The sequence below is a fragment of the Homo sapiens genome, chromosome 5 (assembly GCF_000001405.40).
Source record: "Homo sapiens chromosome 5, GRCh38.p14 Primary Assembly".
Classification (NCBI taxonomy): domain Eukaryota; kingdom Metazoa; phylum Chordata; class Mammalia; order Primates; family Hominidae; genus Homo; species Homo sapiens.
This window is the reverse complement of record NC_000005.10, coordinates 100,768,812-100,792,526: the sequence shown is the minus strand read 5'-3', so window position 1 is coordinate 100,792,526 and position 23,715 is coordinate 100,768,812. Positions and strand designations below refer to the sequence as shown.

The following is a 23,715-nucleotide window of genomic DNA, read 5'->3' as shown; positions in this document are numbered from 1 at the left end:
ATTTTGAAAGTTGATAAAGGGATTAAAGTGGAAAACATATCTAATTCAACAAGCCCATTCTCCATGACTAAACTTACTAATTTTATACATTGAAATTCAGGGTAACATTCATTCCAAATGTATCTAAGGCTTTCAATTAAAAAATGTTGGACTCACCCTTGGTATTTTCAAAAATTTCTGACACTGTGATCACAACCATAAATTAAATTCAAAGAATCATTAATTTATTCACTTGTTCATTCTTTTAATGTAGGGTTATAATGGCCTCATGGTACCAACTAGTCAGTTTGACTTATCATGAGTCACCTTATCAAACAAAACAATAAATAGCAAATACAGAATTTCTGGTCTTAGGTTCCAGAACTTTACCACACAAATAAGGCAAAATAAATTTTGGTTATCTTAGCGCAGCCTATTTTCTCTTTTTTCATAATGTCAGATATGCTTCTCTAAAGACCTTTTCGACATAGAAATCTTCTAACTTTTTTACCAGGTGTTCTACTAAAGGATAGAAGAGAAGTATGCTTCTCAGATTGGCAGAAAGTGTGCTGCGTTTCACAGCTTACACATGTATACAAGCCAGTGTCCACACTGATGGTTTTGGCTGGTTTCTTTTCTAACTTTAATTATATTATTATGGTTCTTAAGTTTTTACTATGAAAGCTCTCCCTGTGTTTTCAAGTAACATGGATACATGTAAACATTTTCAATCAGGTCCAGTTATGAACATAATCTCCATGGCACAACTGAATTTAAGTTAGAGTGGTGTCGTGGAGTAAGGAAAAATAAAAGGTAAGAAAGACAAATGAAAATTTATTTTTAATGTTTTCTGAGAAACTTTTTGTTCAGACAGGATTCATTTTCAGGGAGGCTCCAGTAGGTTTTGAGGGAGAGTCTGACAAAGTTTCTGGTGAGTGAAGAACAGTTAAAATTTAATCAAGCGTATTCAGGCATCCCTGGCTGGATTCTAAGTGGTTATGTAAATCATTAAAAGAAGTAAGGCAGCAGAAGAGATAGGGGGTAGATTTCAGCATAATAAGTCAGTCCTAGATAAGCATATCTATATTGCAGATATATTTGTTTCACCAATTTACAAAAATCTTTAAAAAGCTAAGCAGCATACAATTTCATTAAGACTTTTACTTAAGAGTATGGATAAAAAGCACTTACACAAAACAGTTCTTTAAGCTTACTTTTCCATTTGCACATGGAATTCATTCACAGTAAGGTGATTATACAATGACACACGTAAAAAGTAAAACCTTCCATTCCAATAGATGAAATTTTAATTACTACCAGCTAGATTGAGATGCTGCTCCAGTTCAGGGAGTTAAGAAATCAGCACAATGCTGTTTATGTTCTCCACAACATATGATGCGGCAGTCATGTCTTTCTATTATCTATTGTTTTGGAAAGTGATTATGCCAGGAGCTATGCAGCTTGTGGGAAAAAACTGAAATGCCCCCACCTATTTCTAATTAAGATTAAGAGAATCTTCTGTCATGTTGACTCATTTAGGCATAAAATTACAATTATTTTGACATTAAATTCTCATTATTGTATTTCCCTTGTGTGATCTTTTTACAGATATTTGTGGAAATGCTGACTGACAACAATCTTTTCTTAAATACTATTCCCTTGTCTACTTTTCTTTCTTATCTCGATGTTCATTCCTCCCAACACTAACTCCACCCTCTTTTCTGTTATGACCTTTGAAATTTCTGTAGGAAAGAACCAAAAACAAAAAGAAGCACAAAATTATTATTTCCCCACTGGTTTCTGTAAAAAGAAAAACAAAGACAAGAAGCAATTGGTAAAATTATTCTCATACTAAATAGGTTTCTGAGAGCCCATTTCAGGTGTGGCGAGGCTGCAGTGACAGCAGGAAGAAGCATTTGCAGTGCTCTGTAGTACTGAGCCCTGGCAGCTGCGGCATCAGGGTTCTGTTCAGTGTCCTGGCAGCTGGAATGTGGTCTGAGGTCTCAGATACAGACAGACCAGCCCAACCTCTCACCTTCAGTTAACATAACCACTGAAGCCACCACCTCAGTGCTACAGGTGGCCCCTGGAGCAGTTAAGTTCACCTTTCTAATAATGTCCTGAGAGCTTGCTCTTTTCTGCTGCAGCCAATCTCCCCGAACTTTTCTGTCCTTTCCTCTCCGGAAAAGCTGACAGGCACAACCTTGGACAATGGAACCTTAAAGGAGGCATGCTGACTTCATTGTCTCTTTTAAGTGTCCCTTTTGAAATGAAGTAAGTCAGTCCACAGTAATCATTATAGCTCCCTCTAGGATGGCACTGCAAGGTCAGCTCTGCACAGGAGTCCTGCACTGGAGCATGAGAATAAGATAAGAATATTTGACTTCAAACCTCCTGGCGATTTTCATTAAAAGATAAATCTACCTCAATCTATTTTGAGACTGGGTTTTTTATAACACAATAATAAAAGGTCAGTGTAAAAAAGACTTCGTTTCATCTACCATATTTTTTCTACTGCTCGATCTACTCTATAAATGCGTTTAGCAAGTCTAAAGGCAGTTGGAAAGTGTGTAGCATGTGGTAGCTTTGCAGCCGGGTGAAATATTGCTCAATCAGGTTAGAAAATTCAAGATCTGACTCTCCCAGAGTGATTGTCTTTGTTCATTTCTGAGAACACAGCAAAAGTCATTGTACTCTCCATCTGAGTCTGTTAGTGTGAGGTGACAACATGATCGAGGGCTGCATTGTGTGAAAACACAATGAGCAGCAGCATGTCACCTACTATTTCAAAACTATACTTCAGAGCACCTGAGAGTCTGAGAGATCCTGAGTAGGTCATTTTAGTGAGAAAAACCTACCTTCAGTGGGCAACATGTCTTAGAACACACTGCTTATCCATGCTTTAGGGTTAGACTGTTCCTTGCAGAAGGTCTTCTGCTGCATGGAGTCAAGTCAGAAAACAAACACTCATATAGGAAGGGTGTGATTATCCCTGGTGGGGTAACCAAGAGGCCACATATTTCCTGGAATGACATATAAAACCTGACAGCATTTTAAAATGAATTAATTTCTAATATTTTAAAATACTTTAATCTGTAGGAAATACAAATTGTGATTAAAATTAATGTATAATAAAGCACTGGATTTGAACTAAAGAAAGATTTGTTGTTATGATAATGGTATCAATAAAACTAGAAGACGAATAGCCTCAAATGCAATCATTAATATTTATTTCAGGTCTAAGGGACCTATTTACCTTTTCGTCTCTGTCTCACATCATTTAATTTTCTTCTCTTTTCATGAATTTTTGAATTATTTCTTCTCTCTACTTTTTTTCCATACCAATTCCGTATTCAAAAAAAAAAAAATTTTCTCATGCATCCATGTATTCCTTAAGCTCCTATAAAGGTTTATAATAAGTCAATTATAAGCTTATTACAGGTATATCTGATTTTGTTCCACTCCATTTTATTGCATTGTGAGATACTGAATTATTTTTCAAACTGAAGGTGGGTGACAACCCTGTATGGAATAAACCTGTGGGCACCATTTTTCCAATAATATATACTCACTTCATGTTTCTATATCAAATTTTGGCAATTCTTGCAATATTTCAAACTTATCATTATATTTGTTATGGTGATTTGTAATCAGTGATCATTGATGTAACTATTCTAATTGTTTTGAGGCACCAAAAACTGCACCATGTAAGAGAGCAAGCTTAGTTGATAAATGTTGTGATGTGGTATATATTCTTACTGCTCCACTTACCGGTTGTTCCCCAGCTTTTGTTCCTCTACTCTGGCTTCACTATTCCCTGATCCACAACAATATTGAAATTAGGCCAGTTAATAACCCTACAATGACTTCTGAGTGTGGAAGTGAAAAGAAGAGTTTCAGGTGTTTCACTCTAAATCAAAAGCTACAAATGATTAAACTGCATGAGGAAGGCATGTCAAAAGCCAAGATAAGCTGAAAGCTAGGTCTCACGCACCAAACAATTAGCCAAGTTATGAATGCAAAGGAAAATTTACTGAAGGAAATTAAAAGTGCTACTTCAGTGAACACATAAATGATAAGAAAGCAAAACAGCTTTATTGAGTATAGGGAGAAAGTGTGTGTGGTCTGGACAGAAGATCAAACCAGCCACAACATTCCCTTAAGTCAAAGCCTAATCCAACACAAGGCCCTAACTCTTTTCAACTCTATAAAAGAGGTGAGGAAGCTGCCAAAGGAAAGATGGAAGATAGCAGAGGTTGGTTTAGGAAAAGAGCCATCTCTATAATACACAAGTGCAAGATGAAGTAACAAGTACAGATACACAAGCTGCAGCAAGTTATCCAGAAGCTCCTACTAAAATAATTGATGAAGGTAGCTATACTAAACAACAGCTTTACAGTGTAGATATAATAGTATTCTATTGATAGAAGTGCTATCCAGGACTTTAATCGTTAGAGAGGAGAAATCAATGCCTGGCTTCAAAGTTTGAAAAAACAGGCTTTCTTGTTAGGATCAAATGCAGCTGGTAACTTAAAGTTGAAGCCAGTGCTCATTTACCATTCTAAAAATCCTATGGCCCTTGAGAATGATGCTACATCTACTCTGCCTGTGCTCTATAAATGGAGCACCAAAGTCTGGTTGCCAGAACATCTGCTTACAGCACATCTGTTTACAGCATGGTTCACTAATTTCTTTCTTTCTTTATTTTTTTGAAACTAGGTCTTGCTCTGTTGCCCAGGCTAGAGTGTAGTGGTGTGATCTTGGCTCACTGCTACCTCTGTAATCCTCCTACCTCAGCCTTCAGAGTAGCTCAGACTACAGGCACATATCACCATACTCAGCTAATTTTTGTATTTTTTTGTAGAGATGAGGTTTTACCGTTTTGCCCAGGCTCGAACTCCTGGGCTCCAGCAATCTGCTGGCCTCGACCTTCTTCCAAAGTGCTGGGATTACAGGTATGAGCCACTGTGCCCAGCCAGTTTGCTAAATATTTTTTTTAATTTTTTTTAAATTATACTTTAACTTCTGGGATACATGTGCAGAACGTGTAGGTTTGTTATATAGATATACACGTGCCATGGTGGTTTGCTGCACCCATCAACCTGTCATCTACATTAGGTATTTCTCCTAATGCTATCCCTCCCTGAGACCCCAACCCTCCAAGTGGCCCTGGTGTGTGATGTTCACCTCCCTGTGTCCATGGGTTCTCATTGTTAAACTCCCACTTATGAGTGAGAACATGGAGTGTTTGGTTTTCTATTCTTGTGTTTCCTGAGAATGATGGTTTCCAGCTTCATCCATCTCCCTGCAAAGGACATGAACACATCCTTTTTTTACGGCTGCATAGTACTCCATGGTGTACATGTGGCATATTTTCTTTATCCACTCTATCATTAATGGGCATTTGAGTTGGTTCCAAGTCTTTGCTATTGTGAACAGTGCCACAGTAAACATACATGTGCATGTGTCTTTATAGCAGAATGATTTATAATCCTTTGGGTATATACCCAGTAATGGCATTGCTGGGTCAAATGGTATTTCTGGTTCTAGATCCTTGAGGAATCACCACACTGACTTCCACAATGGTTGAACTAATTTACACTCCCACCAACAGTGTAAAAGTGTTCCTATTTCTCCACATCCTCTCCAGCATCTGTTGTTTCCTGACTTTTTCATGATCGCCATTCTAACTGGCATCAGAAGGTATCTCATTGTGGCTTTAATTTGCATTTCTCTAATGACCAGTGATGATGAGCCTTTTTCATATGTTTGTTGGCCACATAAACGTCTTCTTTTGAGAAGTGTCTGTTCATATCCTTCACCCACTTTTTGATGGGGTTGTTTTTTTCTTGTAAATTTGTTTAAGTTCCTTGTAGATTCTGGTTATTAGCCCTTTGTCAGATGGATAGATTGCAAAAATTTTCTCCCATTCTGTAAGTTGCCTGTTCACTCTGATGATAATTTCTTTTGTTGTGCAGAAGCTCTTTAGTTTAATTAGATCCCATTTGTCAATTTTGGCTTTTGTTACCATTGCTTATGGTGTTTTAATCATGATGTCTTTGGCCATGTCTATGTCATGAATGGTATTGCCTAGGTTTTCTTTTTTTTCTTTTTTTTCTTTTTTTTAGTATTTATTGATCATTCTTGGGTGTTTCTCGGAGAGGAGGGGGATGTGGCAGGCTCATAGGATAATAGTGGAGAGAAGGTCAGCAGATAAACACATGAACAAAGGTCTCTGGTTTTCCTAGGCAGAGGTCCCTGCAGCCTTCCACAGTGTTTGTGTCCCTGGGTACTTGAGATTAGGGAGTGGTGATGACTCTTAACGAGCATGCTGCCTTCAAGCATCTGTTTAACAAAGCACATCTTGCACTGCCCTTAATCCATTTAACCCTGAGTTGACACAGCACATGTTTCAGAGAGCATGGGGTTGGGGGTAAGGTTATAGATTAACAGCATCCCAAGGCAGAAGAATTTTTCTTAGTACAGAACAAAAGGGAGTCTCCTATGTCTACTTCTTTCTACACAGACACAGTAACAATCTGATCTCTCTTTCTTTTCCCCACGCTTCCCTCTTTTCTTTTCGACAAAACCGCCATCGTCATCATGGCCCGTTCTCGATGGTTGCTGTCTCTTCGGAGCTGTTGGGTACACCTGCAGAAAGGCTGTCACTTCACACTTGGAAGATTGCACAGCGGCCAGGCAGAGGCTCTCCTCACCTCCCAGACGGAGCGGCCGGGCAGAGGCGCTCCTCACTTCCCAGATGGGGCGGCTGCCAGGCAGAGGTGCTCCTCACTTCTCAGACGGGGCAGCCGGGCAGAGGCGCTCCTCAGTTCCCAGATGGGGTGGCGGCCGGGCAGAGGTGCTCCTCACTTCCCAGATGGGGCAGCCGGGCAGAGGGGCTCCTCACATCCCAGACGATGGGCAGCCAGGCAGAGACGCTCCTCACTTCCTAGACAGGGTGGCGGCCGGGCAGAGGCTATAATCTTAGCACTTTGGGAGGCCAAGGCAGGCGGCTGGGAGGTAGAGGTTGTAGCGAGCTGAGATCATGCCACTGCACTCCAGCCTGGGCAACATTGAGCACTAAGTGAGCGAGACTCTGTCTGCAATCCTGGCACCTTGGGAGGCCGAGGCAGGCAGATCACTCCAGGTCAGGAGCTGGAGACCAGCCCGGCCAACACAGCGAAATCCCGTCTCCACCAAAAATACAAAAACCAGTCAGGCATGGCGGCGCGTGCCTGCAATCCCAGGCACTCGGCAGGCAGAGGCAGGAGAATCATGGGAGCCCGAGGCAGGGAGGTTGCAGCGAGCCAAGATCACAGCAGTACTGTCCAGCCTCAGCAACAGAGGGAGACCGTCGGAAGGAAGGAAGGAAGGAAGGAAGGAAGGAAGGAAGGAAGGAAGGAAGGAAGAGGAAGGAAGGAAGGAAGGGGAAGGAAGGAAGGAAGGTAGGTTGGTTGCCTAGGTTTTCTTCTAGGGATTTTATGGTTTTAGGTCTTATGTTTAAGTCTGTAATCCATCTTGAGTTAATTTTTACATAAGGTGTAAGGAAGGGGTCCAGTTTCAGTTTTCTGCATATGGCTAGCCAGTTTTCCCAACTCCATTTTTTAAACAGGGAATCCTTTCCCCATTTCTTGTTTTTGCCAGGTTTGTCAAAGATCAGATGGTTGCAGACGTGTGGTGTTATTTCTGAAGCCTCTGTTCCGTTACATTGGTCTATATATCTGTTTTGGTACCAGTACCATCCTCTTTTGGTTACTGTAGCCTTGTAGCATAGTTTGAAGTCAGGTGGTGTGATGCATCCAGCTTTGTTCTTTTGGCTTAGGATTGTCTTGGCAATGCAGGCTCTTTTTTGGTTCCATATGAAATTTAAAGAAGTTTTTTCTAATTCTGTGAAGAAAGTCAATGGTATCTTGATAGGGATACCATTGAATCTATAAATTACTTTGGGCAGTATGGCCATTTTCACGATATTGATTCTTCCTATCCATGAGCCTGGAATGTTTTTCCATTTGTTTGTGCCCTCTCTTATTTCCTTGAGCAGTGCTTTGTAGTTCTCCTCGAAGAGGTCCTTCACATCCCTTGTAAGTTGGATTCCTAGGTATTTTATTCTCTTTGTAGTAATTGTGAATGGGAGTTCACTCATGATTTGGCTCTCTATTATTGGTGTATAGGAATACTTGTGATTTTTGCACATTGATTTTGTATCCTGAGACTTTGCTGAAGTTTCTTATCAGCTTAAGGAGATTTTGGGCTGAGACGATGGGGTTTTCTAAATATACAATCATGTCATCTGCAAACAGAAACAATTGGACTTCCTCTCTTCCTATTTGAATACCTTTTATTTCTTTCTCTTGCTTGATTGCCCTGGCCAGAACTTCCAATACTACGTTGAATATGAGTGGTGAGAGAGGGCATCCTTGTCTTGTGCCAGTTTTCAAAGGGAATGTTTCCAGTTTTTGCCCATTCAGTATGATATTGGCTGTGGGTTTGTCATAAATAGCTCTTATTATTTTCCATCAATACCTAGTTTATTGAGAGTTTTTAGCATGAAGGGGTGTTGAATTTTGTTGAAGGCCTTTTCTGCAACTATGGAGATAATCATGTGGTTTTTGTCATTGGTTATGTTTATGTGATGGATTACGTTTATTGATTTGTGTATGTGGAACCAGCCTTGCATCCCTGGGATGAAGCCAACTTGATCATGTTGGATAAGCTTTTTGATATGCTGCTGGATTTGATTCCTAGTATTTTTTAGCCCACTATTGAGAACTACTGCTCAGGGGTGAAAAATTCTTTCAAAATATTACTGCTGACACCTATAATCATAGCATTTTAGGAGGCTGACATGGGAGGATCATTTGAGCCAAGGAGTTCAAGATCAGCCTGAGCAACATAATGAGACTCCTTCCCTAGAAGAAAAATTTTAAAAATTAGCCAGGCATAGTGACACATGCCTGTAGTCCCAACTACTTGGCAGGATGAGACAGGACGATGGGTTGAGCTCAGGAGTTTGAGGCTGCAGTGAGTTGTGATCTTGTCATTGTATTCCAACCTGGGCAGCAGAACAAGACCTTGTCTCAAAAGTCATACATATTACTGCTCATTAACAATTCGTCTTGTCACCAAAGAGCTCTGATGGAGATGTACAAGATTAATGTTTTTATGCTGCTAACACAACAGCTATTCCACAGTCTGTGAATCAAACAGTAATTTTGACTTTCAAGTTTTATTAGTTAAGAAATACATTTTGTAAACCTATAACTTCCATAGACAGTGATTCCTCTGATGGCTTTGGGCAAAGCAAATTGAAAACTTTCTGGAAAGGATTCACCATTCTAGATGTCATTAAGAACATTCATGATTCATAGGAGGTCAAATTATCAGCATTAACAGGGGTTTGAAAGAAGTTGATTTAAACTTTCATGAATGATTTTGAGGGGTTCAAGACTTGAATGGAGGAAGTAAGTGCAAATGTGGTGAAAATAGCAAAAGAAATAGAATTAAAAGTGGGGCCTGAAGATGTGACTGAATTGCTACAATCTCCTGATAATATTTTAACAGAAGAGAAGTTGCTTCTTATGGATGAGCAAAGAAAGCAAATATGCAGTCTACTCCCGGTGAAGATACTGGGAACATTGTTGAAATGACAACAAAGGATTTGGATTATTATTTAAATTTAGCCAATAAAGCAGTGGCAGGTTTAGAGAGGATTGACTCTGAATTTTAAATTTAGAAGTTCTACTGTTGGGTAAAATGCTACCAAGCTACATCACATGCTAATGAGAAATAGTTCATGAAAGGAAGAGTCAAATGTGGCAAAATTTATTGTTACCTTATTTTAAGAAATTGCCACAGCCACAACCAACCTTCAGGACCCACCACCCTGATGAATCAGAAGTCATTAACACAGAGTAAAGACCTCCCCTGGCCCCCACACCAAGTAAAAAATTAGGACTCACAGAAGGCTCAGATAATCATTAGCATTTTCAGCACAGTATTTTTAAATTAAGGTATACACATTTTTAAAGACATAATGCTATTTCACACGTAATAGACTACAGCAGTGGTCTCTAACCTTTTTGGCATCAGGGACTAGTTTCAGGGAAGACAGTTTTTTTCATGGACAGGGGTGGGGAGTGGTGGATGGTAGGGTGGTGATGAAACTGTTTCACCTCAGAATATGAGGCATTAGATTATCATAAGGAGTGCACAACCTAGATCCCTCGAATGCACAGTTCACAATAGGTTTATGCTCCTATGAGAATCCAATGCCATTACTGATCTGACAGGAGGCAGAGCCCAGATGGTAATGCTTGCTTGTCTGCTGCTCACCTCCTGATGTGCAGCCCAGTTCCTAACAGGCCACTGACTGGTACCAGTCCGAGGCCTAGGGGTTGGGGACCCCCAGACCACAGGATAGTCTATTAAGTAAAAGTAGTGTACACATAACTTTTATATGCACTAGAAAACCAGAAAATTTGTGTGACTCACTTTATTGTGGTGATTTGAAGTCAAACCTGCAACATCTCCAAGGTAAATCTATATTTTTAACAGGTCATTTTTTTCTCTGAATGACAACTTCTAGTGGTATCTGTTGTTGGAATCTTGTGGCCCAATTTACAAGGAAAGTGTCACAGTGCCCTTCCCTTAAAGCCATCGCAAGGAGACAGGCCATCATGAGCCAATTTCTACATTGCAGAGATAGACCAAATCAGATCAGACGCTGACACCAAACTAAACATTTTAATATACAAAACTCCATCTTGCTCTGAGAAGACCCCTAAAATCGAACAGATTTATTCATTTTTTATCAAAGTTTATTTTTGGACTTGATGAATATCAACCACATACAGGGTTCACTGCTGGGCACTAAATCCAGGTAAGCTACTCTCTTTCACCTCTTCTCATGCTATATATTCTCTATGGGCAATCTCTTCCATTTGTATGGTTTTAGTGGTGGCCTCTTTATACCTATATCTTTATAATCTGATCGTTCAGTGCAGACCAGTCTCCTCACTTCAAGACACATAGAAATGACTGCCTATTGGCAAATGCAACATATTCAAAGCTAAATATTTTACCCCATTTCTATCCCTTTCCTTCTTTTAATGTTTCTATCTTAAATGGCATACTCATCCACCCATCCAAAATTGAGAGCCATCTATTTTCTTCAATCTTTACAAATAATGAAATACCATTCACTAAAACTTTTAATACCTCCTAAACATATAGATTTTTCTCTAGTCACTTTGCCACTGTTATAGTTCATGATGCTATAATTTTTCACCTGAATAATGACAAGATTTTTTATGATGGTCTTCCTGACCCCACAATCTATTCTCGCATAAAGGCAGATACAAAGACAAAGCTGATTATACCTATGCTTTGCTTTTAACAACCATCAACCTTCTGAAAAATTCAGCCCTACTTGATTTGCCTTGACAAATCCTCCATTATCTGACTCCCAACTGAGATGGGGCAATATCTTTCCTATCTGTTTGTTTTTTCATTCATAAATCTATTTCTACATTTCTAAGATTTAGTTCCTAGACAGAACAAAATTCACTCTTACCTCCACATACTAATTATTATTTTTCTTTGTTTCTGCCTTATCTCTTAATACTATTTATTATTTTTCTATGTTCCTGCCCTATCTCTTTAATTTGACATACACTTGTTCATCACCCAAGACTCAGTCTAAATATCACTCTCATTGTGATACATTCCATTCCCTCCTAGAGTACTTTGTAAACCTCTAGGGTGTTTTTTACCTAGATGATGGACAGGAAATGATCACGAATTCCCCTTTTTGTGTGAAAATCGTACCCAAATCATACTTTCAAATCACCTTAAAGATTTCTTCTAAATAACAAAAAAGAAACCATAATTTCTTTCAATGACTGGAAGCTAACTTTCTTCTATGTGTAATGCTAAGTGCTTTGCATGCACTTTAATTAGTCCTTACAGCACGTATCATCTCATTTTACTTCTGAAAGATCTGAAGCTACATTAGTGAAAAGTGAAACAGGAACTTAAAGGCAGGAAGTTTGATTCCTAAGGTTACACTAGGCTCACAAGTTAGCTGTGCTCACTCACAGTCTGTCTACAAAATAGCACAAAGATAGGAGAGAATAGTTGTGATCGCAAAAGTCAGGAGTCACTCAGAAAAAGGAGGAGTTGTAGGAAGTTGGGAGTCTGTGAAAATAACAAAGAAGACAGTGAAGATGAACCCCCCACTCAGTAGATCACCAACAGCTCAGAGTGAATTCAGCCTGAGAGAACTTCCATGGTAGCTAATCCCTGAGGTGGCCCTCACCTCTCATTTTTACCTTCAGATATTCTGGGATAGAGACTGGCTGTAAGCGTGCAGATCCCTTTTTCGTCACAGAAATTGAGCAATTTCTCAACATGACCAGAGTGGCGCAATGTAAGGGACATTGCTTATGTGGCAAAAGTGGATCCCTAGTAGACACCAGCAAGTGCACTCACCCTCACCTCCATCCTGACATGCACTTTCAATAAGGAAATGGCCTCTCTTGAGCTACCTCTCCCAACAACAACAAAATACAAAGGCATAAACAACACCAGGCCAAGCCAGTACTTACTGATAACTCCAGGCAAAACATCTCCCAAACACCCTGACTAATTTAGGTATATATACATTATGGTCTAACACATATGGCACAATCAATTAACAGTTGTGTCCTAGACAGGCAGATCGCCCCTAGATAGGCTGCCCACTAATGACAGAGCAACAGCATAGAAACGCTAACGCCTCTGAATGTACTGACTACTTTTTTAACATAATGAAAATTCACGAAATATGGATGATTTGGCCATTGAGAATACACTGAAATTCCCAGGCATATTCACAGTCCCAGAAATATCAACTAGTCTGGACTCATTTACAGCCCTTACTGCATCCTAATACTTAGATCGACTCCATCTGTTCTGTCCCAGTATCCTGTGGGCAATGAGTTAAGGAGGAGGCGCTTAGGTCATTCAGAATTCCCAGCAGGCCATATTACACCTTCATGGTTTTACTAGATTTAACAGTAGTGGTTTTTATTGAACATTTCAGTCATTGAACCCACTACCCACCTATTAATCACAAGAAAGCTATGCCTATGTCACAAATATTGATATCTATTTAATCACTTCTGAACTCAGTCTGTGAATTTCTATAATATGTACTGTTAAACATGTCATCTATGTTGAACCTTACATAATACCTTAAATGGTATATAAAAATTGACTGTACCTCTGAGTATTTCATCAGGATATTTTTAAAAAGAATTTATTTATATCTTCCAAATCAGAATTATATCCCAAAACACTTTTTCAAGATTTCTATAACTGGCTTTATAAAAAGCTATATCTGATGCAGATTTTTAATAGTCAACATTAAAATAGAGAATATTAGGGGTTTATTAGTAATTATTTAGACCTGCCAAACAGTATCTTTTATCATGGAGACAATTAGTTATTGTTAAATTTGACATGTTAGCTCTGTATTCCTAGGTCCTAGTGTAATGTCAGGTATATAATAGACAAAAGCATTTGTTAAATGATCAAATGAAGCAATGGTTCCTCTCTCTGGGAGTTTCTACTCCGGATGAGAATATGAAACAATGGAAACACAAAAACAGTACCATAGTAATAACACTAAAACATTAGAGACAAGATTGAACATTGTGGGAGGTAATATTGCAGACCAGGCTGAATTTTAAGTGACATAAACTTGTTTTCAAACCCCTGCTCTGTTACTGAGTAGCTAGGGGACTTCAGGCATATGACATCTCCTTTTGAGCCTTAAATTTCTCATCTGTGAAATGGGTCTAAATGAAAGCACATTAGCTTTCCAAGATATTGCTACTTTATAAATTAAAATAAAATTTGACGGCCAGTAGAAATCATGGAAACTTTTGAAGAATTGGACCATAAACTGAGATTTTAAGAATGAGTAGAATTTCAGATAAATGAAGAGAAAGGAAATGGAAACTGAGTGTAGTTGCAGTAAAGAAAGCAGAGGAGAGAAGAAAATAAGTGCTTATATGAAGAGAATTGTTAAGCTTTCTGATAATATGGGGGAAACATTAAGGTAGCTTTGATTAAATCAGTGGTGATGGTTGTATTGTATTGCACATGTGGATAAGTCAAAGATAACGCCCATGTTTCTAATTTGTGAAACAATATAGAGAGTGATATAATTCACTGAGGCAAAGGACACCAGAAAAGAATCAGATTGAAGAGTGGTAAATCAAGAACCCTGTGTATGGTAAGTTGAACTGCTGTAACTTTTTTGTGTTAATGTGTAATTATTAAAGAACCAGTTGAATATTGAATGTACTGATCTGGAGCCGAGAGGTTTGAATTAGAGATGTGGTTGCTATTCAGCGGGGAGAATCAGGAAGCAAATTCACCAAGGAAAAGGTATTCTCCAAGTGCAACATGATCAGAACAGGCTGGAAGCCAGAAATATTACATAGGATGCACATGTAAAGCTTACGGATGGGGAGCTGAAATTTTAACTGGAACCAAGAGAGATATGCTGCCAAATAAATGAATTGAGAAATCTTTAACTTAGTAGCAACATTTAAAGCCATAGAGGTATATACAATGTATAAGAGAGAAAACATAGAAAGGGAACAGAAACTTGGCAGAGGGCCCCATTTATGGAGCAGACGGCAGAAGAGAAGCTGAAACAGGAAATGAAGAAAGCATGAGTCACTGGGAAGCAAAACTTTAAAATGCAACTTCAGAAGAATCAAAGGAAGATAGTTTTAAGATAGCCCCAATAAACATTTAAAAAGTACCTCAGAGAAACCAAAGAAAAGAGCTTAGACATACCCCATGAAATTAGCAATTTTATCATACTTGAAGGCAGTGATGGAGTCTATAGTCAACTTGTAAGTAATGTGGGAAGTCTATAGATATTTGTCAAAATCTTTACTGGTTGTTTTCCCAAGGATCCAAATTCTTCCTTTTAAACAGTATGTCTTTATCTCTGGAATCAACATGAGAATATCAGAAAAACAAAATATTCTCTTTTAACATTTGTCATAATAATGTATATGCAGGACAATACGTTATAAGCATTTATATTAGTTATACATGTTACCAGTTATCTGAATTACATTAAAATTAGCATCTCCATTTCCAGGTGGATATTTTAAGGCCAAGGAAATGTCAAATGACTTGCCTTTTGTTCTGGTAAATCAGAGAAAATGGGCCTATCACTTAATGTTAATAGCACTTGGAATGCCTTCCAATTTATTTTAATTAAGGTCTTCATTTTCTGTGCATTTTTATATAATTTATTTTAAAATAATTTATAGCAAGGGAAAATTGTGATTTATTAAGAATAATCAGGACTTAATTCAGGCTAATATAACAGAATACCAAAGACTGGGTGGCTTAAACAACAAACTGTTTTTTTTTTGTTTTGTTTTGTTTTGTTTTGTTTTTGAGATGGAGTCTTCCTCTATTATCCAGGTTGGAGTGCAGTGGTGTGATCTCAGCTCACCACAACCTCCGCCTCCCAGATTCAAGCCATTCTCCTGCCTCAGCCTCCTGAGTAGCTGATTACAGGTGCGTGCCACCATGCCCAGCTAATTTTTGTATTTTGAGTAGAGACGGGGTTTCACTATGTTGGCCAGGCTGGTCTTGAACTCCTGACCTCGTGATCCACCTGCCTTGGCCTCCCAAAGTGCTGTGATTACAGGCGTGAGCCACTGCACCCTGCCAAACAACAAACATTTATTTCTCACCATCCAGAGGCTGGGAGGTCCAAGATCAAGGTGCTAGCAAATTCAGTGTCTAGTGAAGGCCTTCTTCCTGATTTTCAGATGACTGATTTCCTGCAGTATCCTCACATAGTGAAGAGAGAGGGAGTGAGCACTCAAGGTCTCTTCTATAAGGGCACAAGTCCCATTTATTAGGGCTCCACCCTTATGGCCCAATCACCTTCCAAAGGCTTCATCTCCTAATTACATCACATTGTGGGTTAGGATTTTAACATATAAATTTGGCGGTGATACAAACATTTAAGCCACAACAAACCACAAATAAATAAATGCTTCCAAACTTATTAAGAGCATTCTTCTCTCCTTTAAATTAATGTTGACATTAGAATTCACTAAAGGAGACCAAATTTTTTTTGTATTCTGCTGTTGTGACTCAGCAATACATACTTCTTCAATCAGCCTCTCTTGTATGAGCCTTATATTTCACAAACAATGGTTTGTGAAAGAAGTGTATATAATATATATAATTATGGCAAAGAAACATTGTGATTTGTTAAGAATAATCATGTCTTAGTTTAGGCTGCCGTTACAGAATACCATAGACTGGGTAGCTTAAAATATAAATAATATATATTTTTGAGTAAATGCATCAGAGACATTTAAAAATATTTTAAGCTTTAGGGTAGAGTTGTGGTAGGGAAAAGTTTGTATTTCTTTACCTGTGCCACTGCATCTTCAAAAAAAAAAAAAAAAGGAACTAAGTTATATATATTAAAGGAAATGTGTCACGTTAGTAGACCTAATTTCCTTTTCTTGATGCTTATTATCGGAATGGATTATTGCTTAATGAAAATTTTTAAAAAGGGGACCTCCTTCTACCCTGGGAATTTTTACAACATTTTGAAGAGCAAAGCTTAGTTTAAAAAGAATTTCCTTTGAATTTAAAAGCTGTTTTAAACATTGAGCACGTGCATTTTTATATGCATTTGTAGGCAAATGTCACACTTTCAGGCTTTAGCACCCTCTGGCCTCTACCCACAATGTCACTCTGCATGCCTCAGAAAACACAAAGAAGTAATGCCACTGGATAAATAACTTGAAGTGAGAGACCCTGTTCATTGCTGTGAGAAGCCAGCGATTTGTTTGACTCCTGCAGGGACCAGCCCTACAGGGTCCATGGGTCTCTCCCCGTGTGCGACGATGAGAGAGTGTAGAAATAAAGACACAAGACAAAGAGATAAAAGAAAAGACAGCTGGGCCTGGGGGACCACTACCACCAACGCGCGGAGACCAGTAGTGGCCCCGAATGTCTGGCTGCGCTGTTATTTATTGGATACAAAGCAAAAGGGGCAGGGTAAAGAGTGTGAGTCATCTCCAATGATAGGTAAGGTCACGTGGTTCACGTGTCCACTGGACAGGGGGCCCTTCCCTGCCTGGCAGCCAAGGCAGAGAGAGAGAGGAGACAAAGAGAAAGACAGCTTATGCCATATTTCTGCATATCAGAGACTTTTAGTACTTTCACTAATTTTCTACTGCTATCTAGAAGACAGAGCCAGGTGTACAGGATGGAACATGAAGGTGGACTAGGAGTGTGACCACTGAAGCACAGCATCACAGGGAGACGGTTAGGCTTCCGGATAACTGCCGGCAAGCCTAACTGATGTCAGGCCCTCCACAAAAGGTGAAGGAACAGAGTCTTCTCTAAACTCCCCCAGGGAAAAGGAGACTCCCTTTCCCGGTCTGCTAAGTAGCGGATGGTTTTCCTTGACACTTTTCGCTACCGCTAGACCACGGTCCGCCTGACAATGGGGGTCTTCCCAGATGCTGGCGTCACCGCCAGACCAAGGAGCCCTCTGGTGGCCCTGTCCGGGCATAACAGAAAGCTCTCACTCTTGTCTTCTGGTCACACCTCACTATGTCCCCTCAGCTCCTATCTCTGTGTGGCCTGGTTTTTCCTAGGTTATGATTATAGAGCGAGGATTATTATAATATTGGGATAAAGAGTAATTACTACCAACTAATGATTAATGATATTCATATATAATCATATCTAAGCTCTATATCTGGTATAACTATTCTTGTTTTATATTTTATTATACTGGAACAGCTCATGTCCTTGGTCTCTTGCCTCGGCGCCTGGGTGGCTTGCCACCCACAGACTCCTTGCTCTAGCAATAACATTTCTCTTGTCACCAAGCATCAGTAACATGTAAGGTCTATCAATAAAATATAATATGATGTTTGCTTCAAAAATGCACAATTTTTATACCACATTTTTGGATCATCTTCATTTTATCATTCTCTTAAACCTCCTACTCACTTTCCTTCTTTGAAATTCAGTAATTTTATTTTTTATTGTCCATTTTGGATATTGATTTTTTTAGATCTTCTTTTCTTTTGTAATCGGCTGCCATTTTGACCCTTCATCCCACCACCACATACACCTTCTAAAATTTGATGAGCTCTGTCCTATGTACCATCCTCAGAAAGTTTCCTTCATTACACCTATATCTAAGAAAGTAGATCATAATATTTAAAAATATGTTTTTTCGATGTTGCACCTTTTTGTGGTAAAATGGTTTAATAATGATTTTTAACATTTTCTTGCAAAGATAAAGGAGAGTCTTTTATCACAATGTACAAATTGCTTATATTCAAGAACAGAATTTACAGCATCTAGAGTAGGACTCGAGGAATCTCTCTTCCCACTTAGACTCTATCCTCTCATCTACCCTGTCCCCGGAAGGCCCAGCTAATATTGCCTGACCAGTAAACTATGAAAACAAAAGTGAATGAGTCAATATATTTCATTAAGATTCCACTCAAAGGGCTGGGTGCGGTGGCTCACGCCTGTAATCCCAGCACTTTTGGAGGCCGAGGCGGGCAGATCACGAGGTCATGAGATCAAGACTATTCTGGCTAACACGGTGAAAACCCATCTCTACTAAAAATACAAAAAATTAGCTGGGTGTGGTGGCGGGCGCCTGTAGTCCCAGCTACTCCGGAGGCTGAGGCGTGAACCTGGGAGGCAGAGCTTGCAGTAAGCTGAGATCGCGCCACTGCACTCCAGCCTGGGTGACAGAGCAAGACTCCGTCTCAAAAAAAAAGAAAAAAGATTCCACTCAAAGAGAATTTCTACCTTGGGGCCAGTGTAGTTCAAGGTTGGGCTGATGATCTTATGCTAATTTCCTATTTTCTCTCCATCTATGTGTACTTTAAATCCTTTAAAATGTATGAGATGTAAAGTGTAGGAGAAATAAAAAGAAATTATTTTGCACACAGATGGTAATACATATATATGTACCATCACCCCCCAAGATATGGTCCTAACATAAGTGGATCCCAGAGAGGTCTGGACACTTTTGAAAATGATGAAGCCATAAATGGTAGTGAATAGAGCATGCGAGTGAGTATTGTGCCATATCTTCAAGTTTGATTTCAGGCAAGCAAATACAACCTCCATGGTATGAGCCTCAGAATTCCTTTTGGAAGCAGAAATCCGAGCAAGATTACAGATAAAAATGACCCTCCATTGGCTACCCAGTGTCACTGTAGTGCCTTGGTTAAAATAGGCTGCCAAATCACTTCAGGAGAGTTGTTTAATTCCATCCTGATCAAATTTTACAGGTCTGTGATTCAAATTATTCCATGTTGTCGGTTTCAAGACTTCATCAGGAATGAATTTGTTCTGCTTGGAGTCCTTAGTTAGTGTTTGAGAAAGACCTCTGTGATTAGCCAAATCAAAACCTTTCAGCTGCGGCAGCAGCCACATTCAGACTGAATTTCTGCAGCTGACTTATCTAACAAAACATTATCCTCTCTTTAATCAAAGGCCTAAACACATGATTTTGTTACTCACTTTCAGTAAATAATTGAACTGCGAGCAAACTGCAGAATGTGGAGGAGCTACGAAGAGACACACCCTATCCCCACTCCCCAGGTGGGGGTATCTCTTCATTGCCACTCCACATAAATCCTCTCAAATCCTCTCAGTCCTCTCAACCCAGCTACTCATTCAGGGTGACAGAAGTGAGGCCTTTAGAATACTTCTGCCAGGGGAGCAGCTGAATGCAGGCAATTCAAATGTGTGTGAAAAATCTTAACAGGAGCACATCAGGGAAGTCTCTGCCTGACCAAACAAAGGCACATCTCCCACATTTACCAGCCAGAATCTGCTTTAGGTTAATTGTTCTGCATATTGCAGGTAGCTTATTTCCTGGGGCTTCCAGGAGCCACAGCTTCTTTCCACTATATGCAGAAACTGGTGGAGCTAGGAAGACACTGGGTACATTTCCCAGGGTCTTGAAGGGGATTCTAAATAGCCATCTTGTTTTTTCCACAGACTTTCTTTTTTTAAAAAAGCTCAATGACTGGCATCTCTCCTAGCTTAAGCATGCACACAAGTATAAAATTCTGATTTCTTGTTTCATGCATGGATAGTTGTTTATTGTTATCATTTGCTGGTTGGCTAAGCTCATTGATGACTTTAGAAGGCAAGCAAGTACCTCTAGTTTACAGCTGAGTACCTTGGCTGGTGTGGAGCTGTACTGGATGGGAGCTTATTTGGATGTCTGGTGTTTGTTCACGGTTATATGATGCTCTTACTTCTGCTTCAAAAACAGCAATTAATCAAGACATCTGACAAGTACTCTAGGATTGCTTTAGAACATCTAGCTTCCCAGCATCACCTGCAACCCTTCCACAGCCCCTAAGAGAGTAATGTTTCACTAATATTGCAGAAAACGCATCTGGACGATAATCCTGTGGCAACTCTACTCATAACTGATATTTTTCTTCCTAAACATGCGTATTCTCTGCTTGATTCTTTTTGTGACAAACAGCAATTAGTTGATTTGATGTTAAAGGTGAAGTCTATGACATTCAGATAAGATAAAAATGAGAATACTTAACGAGTGTTGTATTATTTAATCTTTATAACTATGAAAGATGGGTACAGTTATCTTTATTTTATTATTGAAGAAGTAAAGCACAAAGAGGTTAAAATACAGCTGAAAACAATACTGTATTATTAGCAGACGTTTTTTCTCCTGTTATTTCCACCTTAATTTTCCAAACCAAGCAGTATATTCATCACTGTTTTAGGATGAGATTTTAGTAAAGAAATAGCCAGTCTCTGGCTTTTGCATGCCCCATGCCTAAATTTATTAATACAGTGTTTGAGGCAAATATTACAATAGAAATAGTGACTTTTAGGGAGAGAAAAAATATCAAAATTTAAAAGAAGGAAAATGCCTTCCCATCTCCCACCTTCTAACCCCAACCCCTGGCTAAAGGAAAATTCTCCCACTTTAGATATCTGTGCTTACGTGATGAGTAAGAAATAAAGCTAAAGGGGAAAAAAGATGAAAGTGGTCCTGAGTTGAGACTATTGCTTCCTCAGAAAAATGAAAGCGATAATTAATTGCTAATAGACTTGTGTTGTGCTTGGGACCACAGATAGCCTAGGAGAGAGTTTCACATCAGAGGTGACAAGCAGAGATGAGTCAAATTCATTTAAATGGGAATAACAAGATGAATGATTTTGCATGAAGAAGATGTATGTTAGGTGTCCCTTTTGTATTTGTAGAACTAGTGATGAATTTTGGAAGAAAGGTAAGTTTTAATTTAGAAATACTGAGTTTGTATGACAGCAACTCCTCCAGGATAAAATATCAAAGAAGCAAGTTGAAATGTGGTACTGGGAATTAGCAGAGAGAGCCAGACTAGGGACATCATTTTAAGAGTTAAGCATAAAGATTATGGTTAAAGTCATGAAAAATGATAACTGAAAAGGCACTTAATATAAGCAGCAGTCATGTTCCAGTTACTATTGTATTCCTAATTTCTTTTTTTAAAATTACTTTCATTTATTCCTTCCGTAATGTTCTTTTTTAAATTTTTTTTAATTTTTATTTTTTATTTTTATTTTATTATTATTACACTTTAAGTTTTAGGGTACACGTGCACAATGTGCAGGTTAGTTACATATGTATACATGTGCCATGCTGGTGTGCTGCACCCATTAACTCATCATTTAGCATTAGGTCTATCTCCTAATGCTATCTCTCCCCCCTCCCCCCACCCCACAACAGTCCCCAGAGTGTGATGTTCCCCTTCCTGTGTCCATGTGTTCTCATTGTTCAATTCCCACCTATGAGTGAGAACATGCGGTGTTTGTTTTTTTGTCCTTGCAATAGTTTACTGAGAATGATGATTTCCAATTTCATCCATGTCCCTACAAAGGACATGAACTCATCATTTTTTATGGCTGCATAGTATTCCATGGTGTATATGTGCCACGTTTTCTTAATCCAGTCTATCATTGTTGGACATTTGGGTTGATTCCAAGTCTTTGCTATTGTGAATAATGCTGCAATAAACATACGTGTGCATGTGTCTTTATAGCAGCATGATTTATAGTCCTTTGGGTATATACCCAGTAATGGGATGGCTGGCTGGGTCAAATGGTATTTCCAGTTCTAGATCCCTGAGGAATCGCCACACTGACTTCCACAATGGTTGAACTAGTTTACAGTCCCACCAACAGTGTAAAAGTGTTCCTATTTCTCCACATCCTCTCCAGCACCTGTTGTTTCCTGACTTTTTAATGATCGCCATTCTAACTGGCGTGAGATGGTATCACATTGTGGTTTTGATTTGCATTTCTCTGATGGCCAGTGATGGTGAGCATTTTTTCATGTGTTTTTTGGCTGCATAAATGTCTTCTTTTGAGAAGTGTCTGTTCATGTCCTTTGCCCACTTTCTGATGGGGTTGTTTGTTTTTTTCTTGTAAATTTGTTTGAGTTCATTGTAGATTCTGGATATTAGCCCTTTGTCAGATGAGTAGGTTGTGAAAATTTTCTCCCATTTTGTAGGTTGCCTGTTCACTCTGATGGTAGTTTCTTTTGCTGTGCAGAAACTCTTTAGTTTAATTAGATCCCATTTGTCAATTTTGGCTTTTGTTGCCATTGTTTTTGGTGTTTTAGACATGAAGTCCTTGCCCATGCCTATGTCCTGAATGGTAATGCCTAGGTTTTCTTCTAGGGTTTTTATGGTTTTAGGTCTAACGTTTAAGTCTTTAATCCATCTTGAATTAATTTTTGTATAAGGTGTAAGGAAGGGATCCAGTTTCAGCTTTCTACATATGGCTAGCCATACCTGTCACTTCACTGATTGGACTCATTGGACAAATGTGTGAAAAGAGCGGCTAGAGAAAGAGGAAAGGAAGTCAGAAATATTGGAGAAGAACTAGAAGCATAACATGTCAAGAAATGAAAACCTCTCAAAGATATCAAAATCTCACTGAATTTCAGGATAATCTTCAAATTAAAGGATATAGATTATTTTAGACGTTTCCAACCTGGCTACATTTTCACATCACTTGGGGAACTTAAAAAGGAACACACAAGCAAATCAAATCAAATCAAATAAAGAATATCTGGTCAGACCACTCAAATCCACACTTCATGCAACTGATTACAGATATCAGTATTTTAAAAATATTGCTCCTCAGTTGTTTTTAATGTTCAGCCAATAAAGAACCACTGGATTCAATGAGCTTTATGACCTCTTAAATCATGGAAATTTTAACTTTTAGAAAATTTTTAAGTACTTGTTACATGTCAAAATATTTTTTGACTTTTCCAAAAAACATGAAAAATATTGACCTTGACTTTTCCAAGCCTTCTTTGTCTACATCGTCTTTAATCTCATCATTATCCTTCTGTTATCCAAAGTCATTTTTGACCATTGTTACTTCATCTCCTACATCCCATCAGTCATGAGATCTCACTGCTATGTTCCCTTCCTTTATATTTTCTTTGTGACAGCTGTGGTTTTACACTACATGCCCTCTTGCTGTAGTGTTAATAATTTGTGAAATGATCCCTTTAATTTGAAGTGTTGGCTGCTGCACTCTATCCCTTTCTTTGCTACCAAACTTACCTTCCCAAACACAGGTCAGATTGTGCCACTCCCTGCTTGGAAACCC

General features: G+C 38.9%; 3 annotated features.

Moving 5' to 3' along the window:
* Positions 6,027-6,557: an enhancer, noted in NCBI's record as "NANOG hESC enhancer chr5:100121674-100122204 (GRCh37/hg19 assembly coordinates)". NCBI's record gives its function as "activates a minimal SCP1, AML or CMV promoter by ChIP-STARR-seq in naive H9 embryonic stem cells {active_cell/tissue: H9 hESC(naive)}" and the evidence as "EXISTENCE:reporter gene assay evidence [ECO:0000049][PMID:30033119]".
* Positions 14,561-15,760: an enhancer, noted in NCBI's record as "MED14-independent group 3 enhancer chr5:100112471-100113670 (GRCh37/hg19 assembly coordinates)". NCBI's record gives its function as "activates an origin of replication core promoter dependent on BRD2, BRD4, P300/CBP and CDK7 cofactors, and independent of MED14, by STARR-seq in HCT116 cells {active_cell/tissue: HCT116}" and the evidence as "EXISTENCE:reporter gene assay evidence [ECO:0000049][PMID:35650434]".
* Positions 14,720-14,789: an enhancer, noted in NCBI's record as "active region_22844". NCBI's record gives its function as "activates an Ori minimal core promoter by ATAC-STARR-seq in GM12878 lymphoblastoid cells {active_cell/tissue: GM12878}" and the evidence as "EXISTENCE:reporter gene assay evidence [ECO:0000049][PMID:35858748]".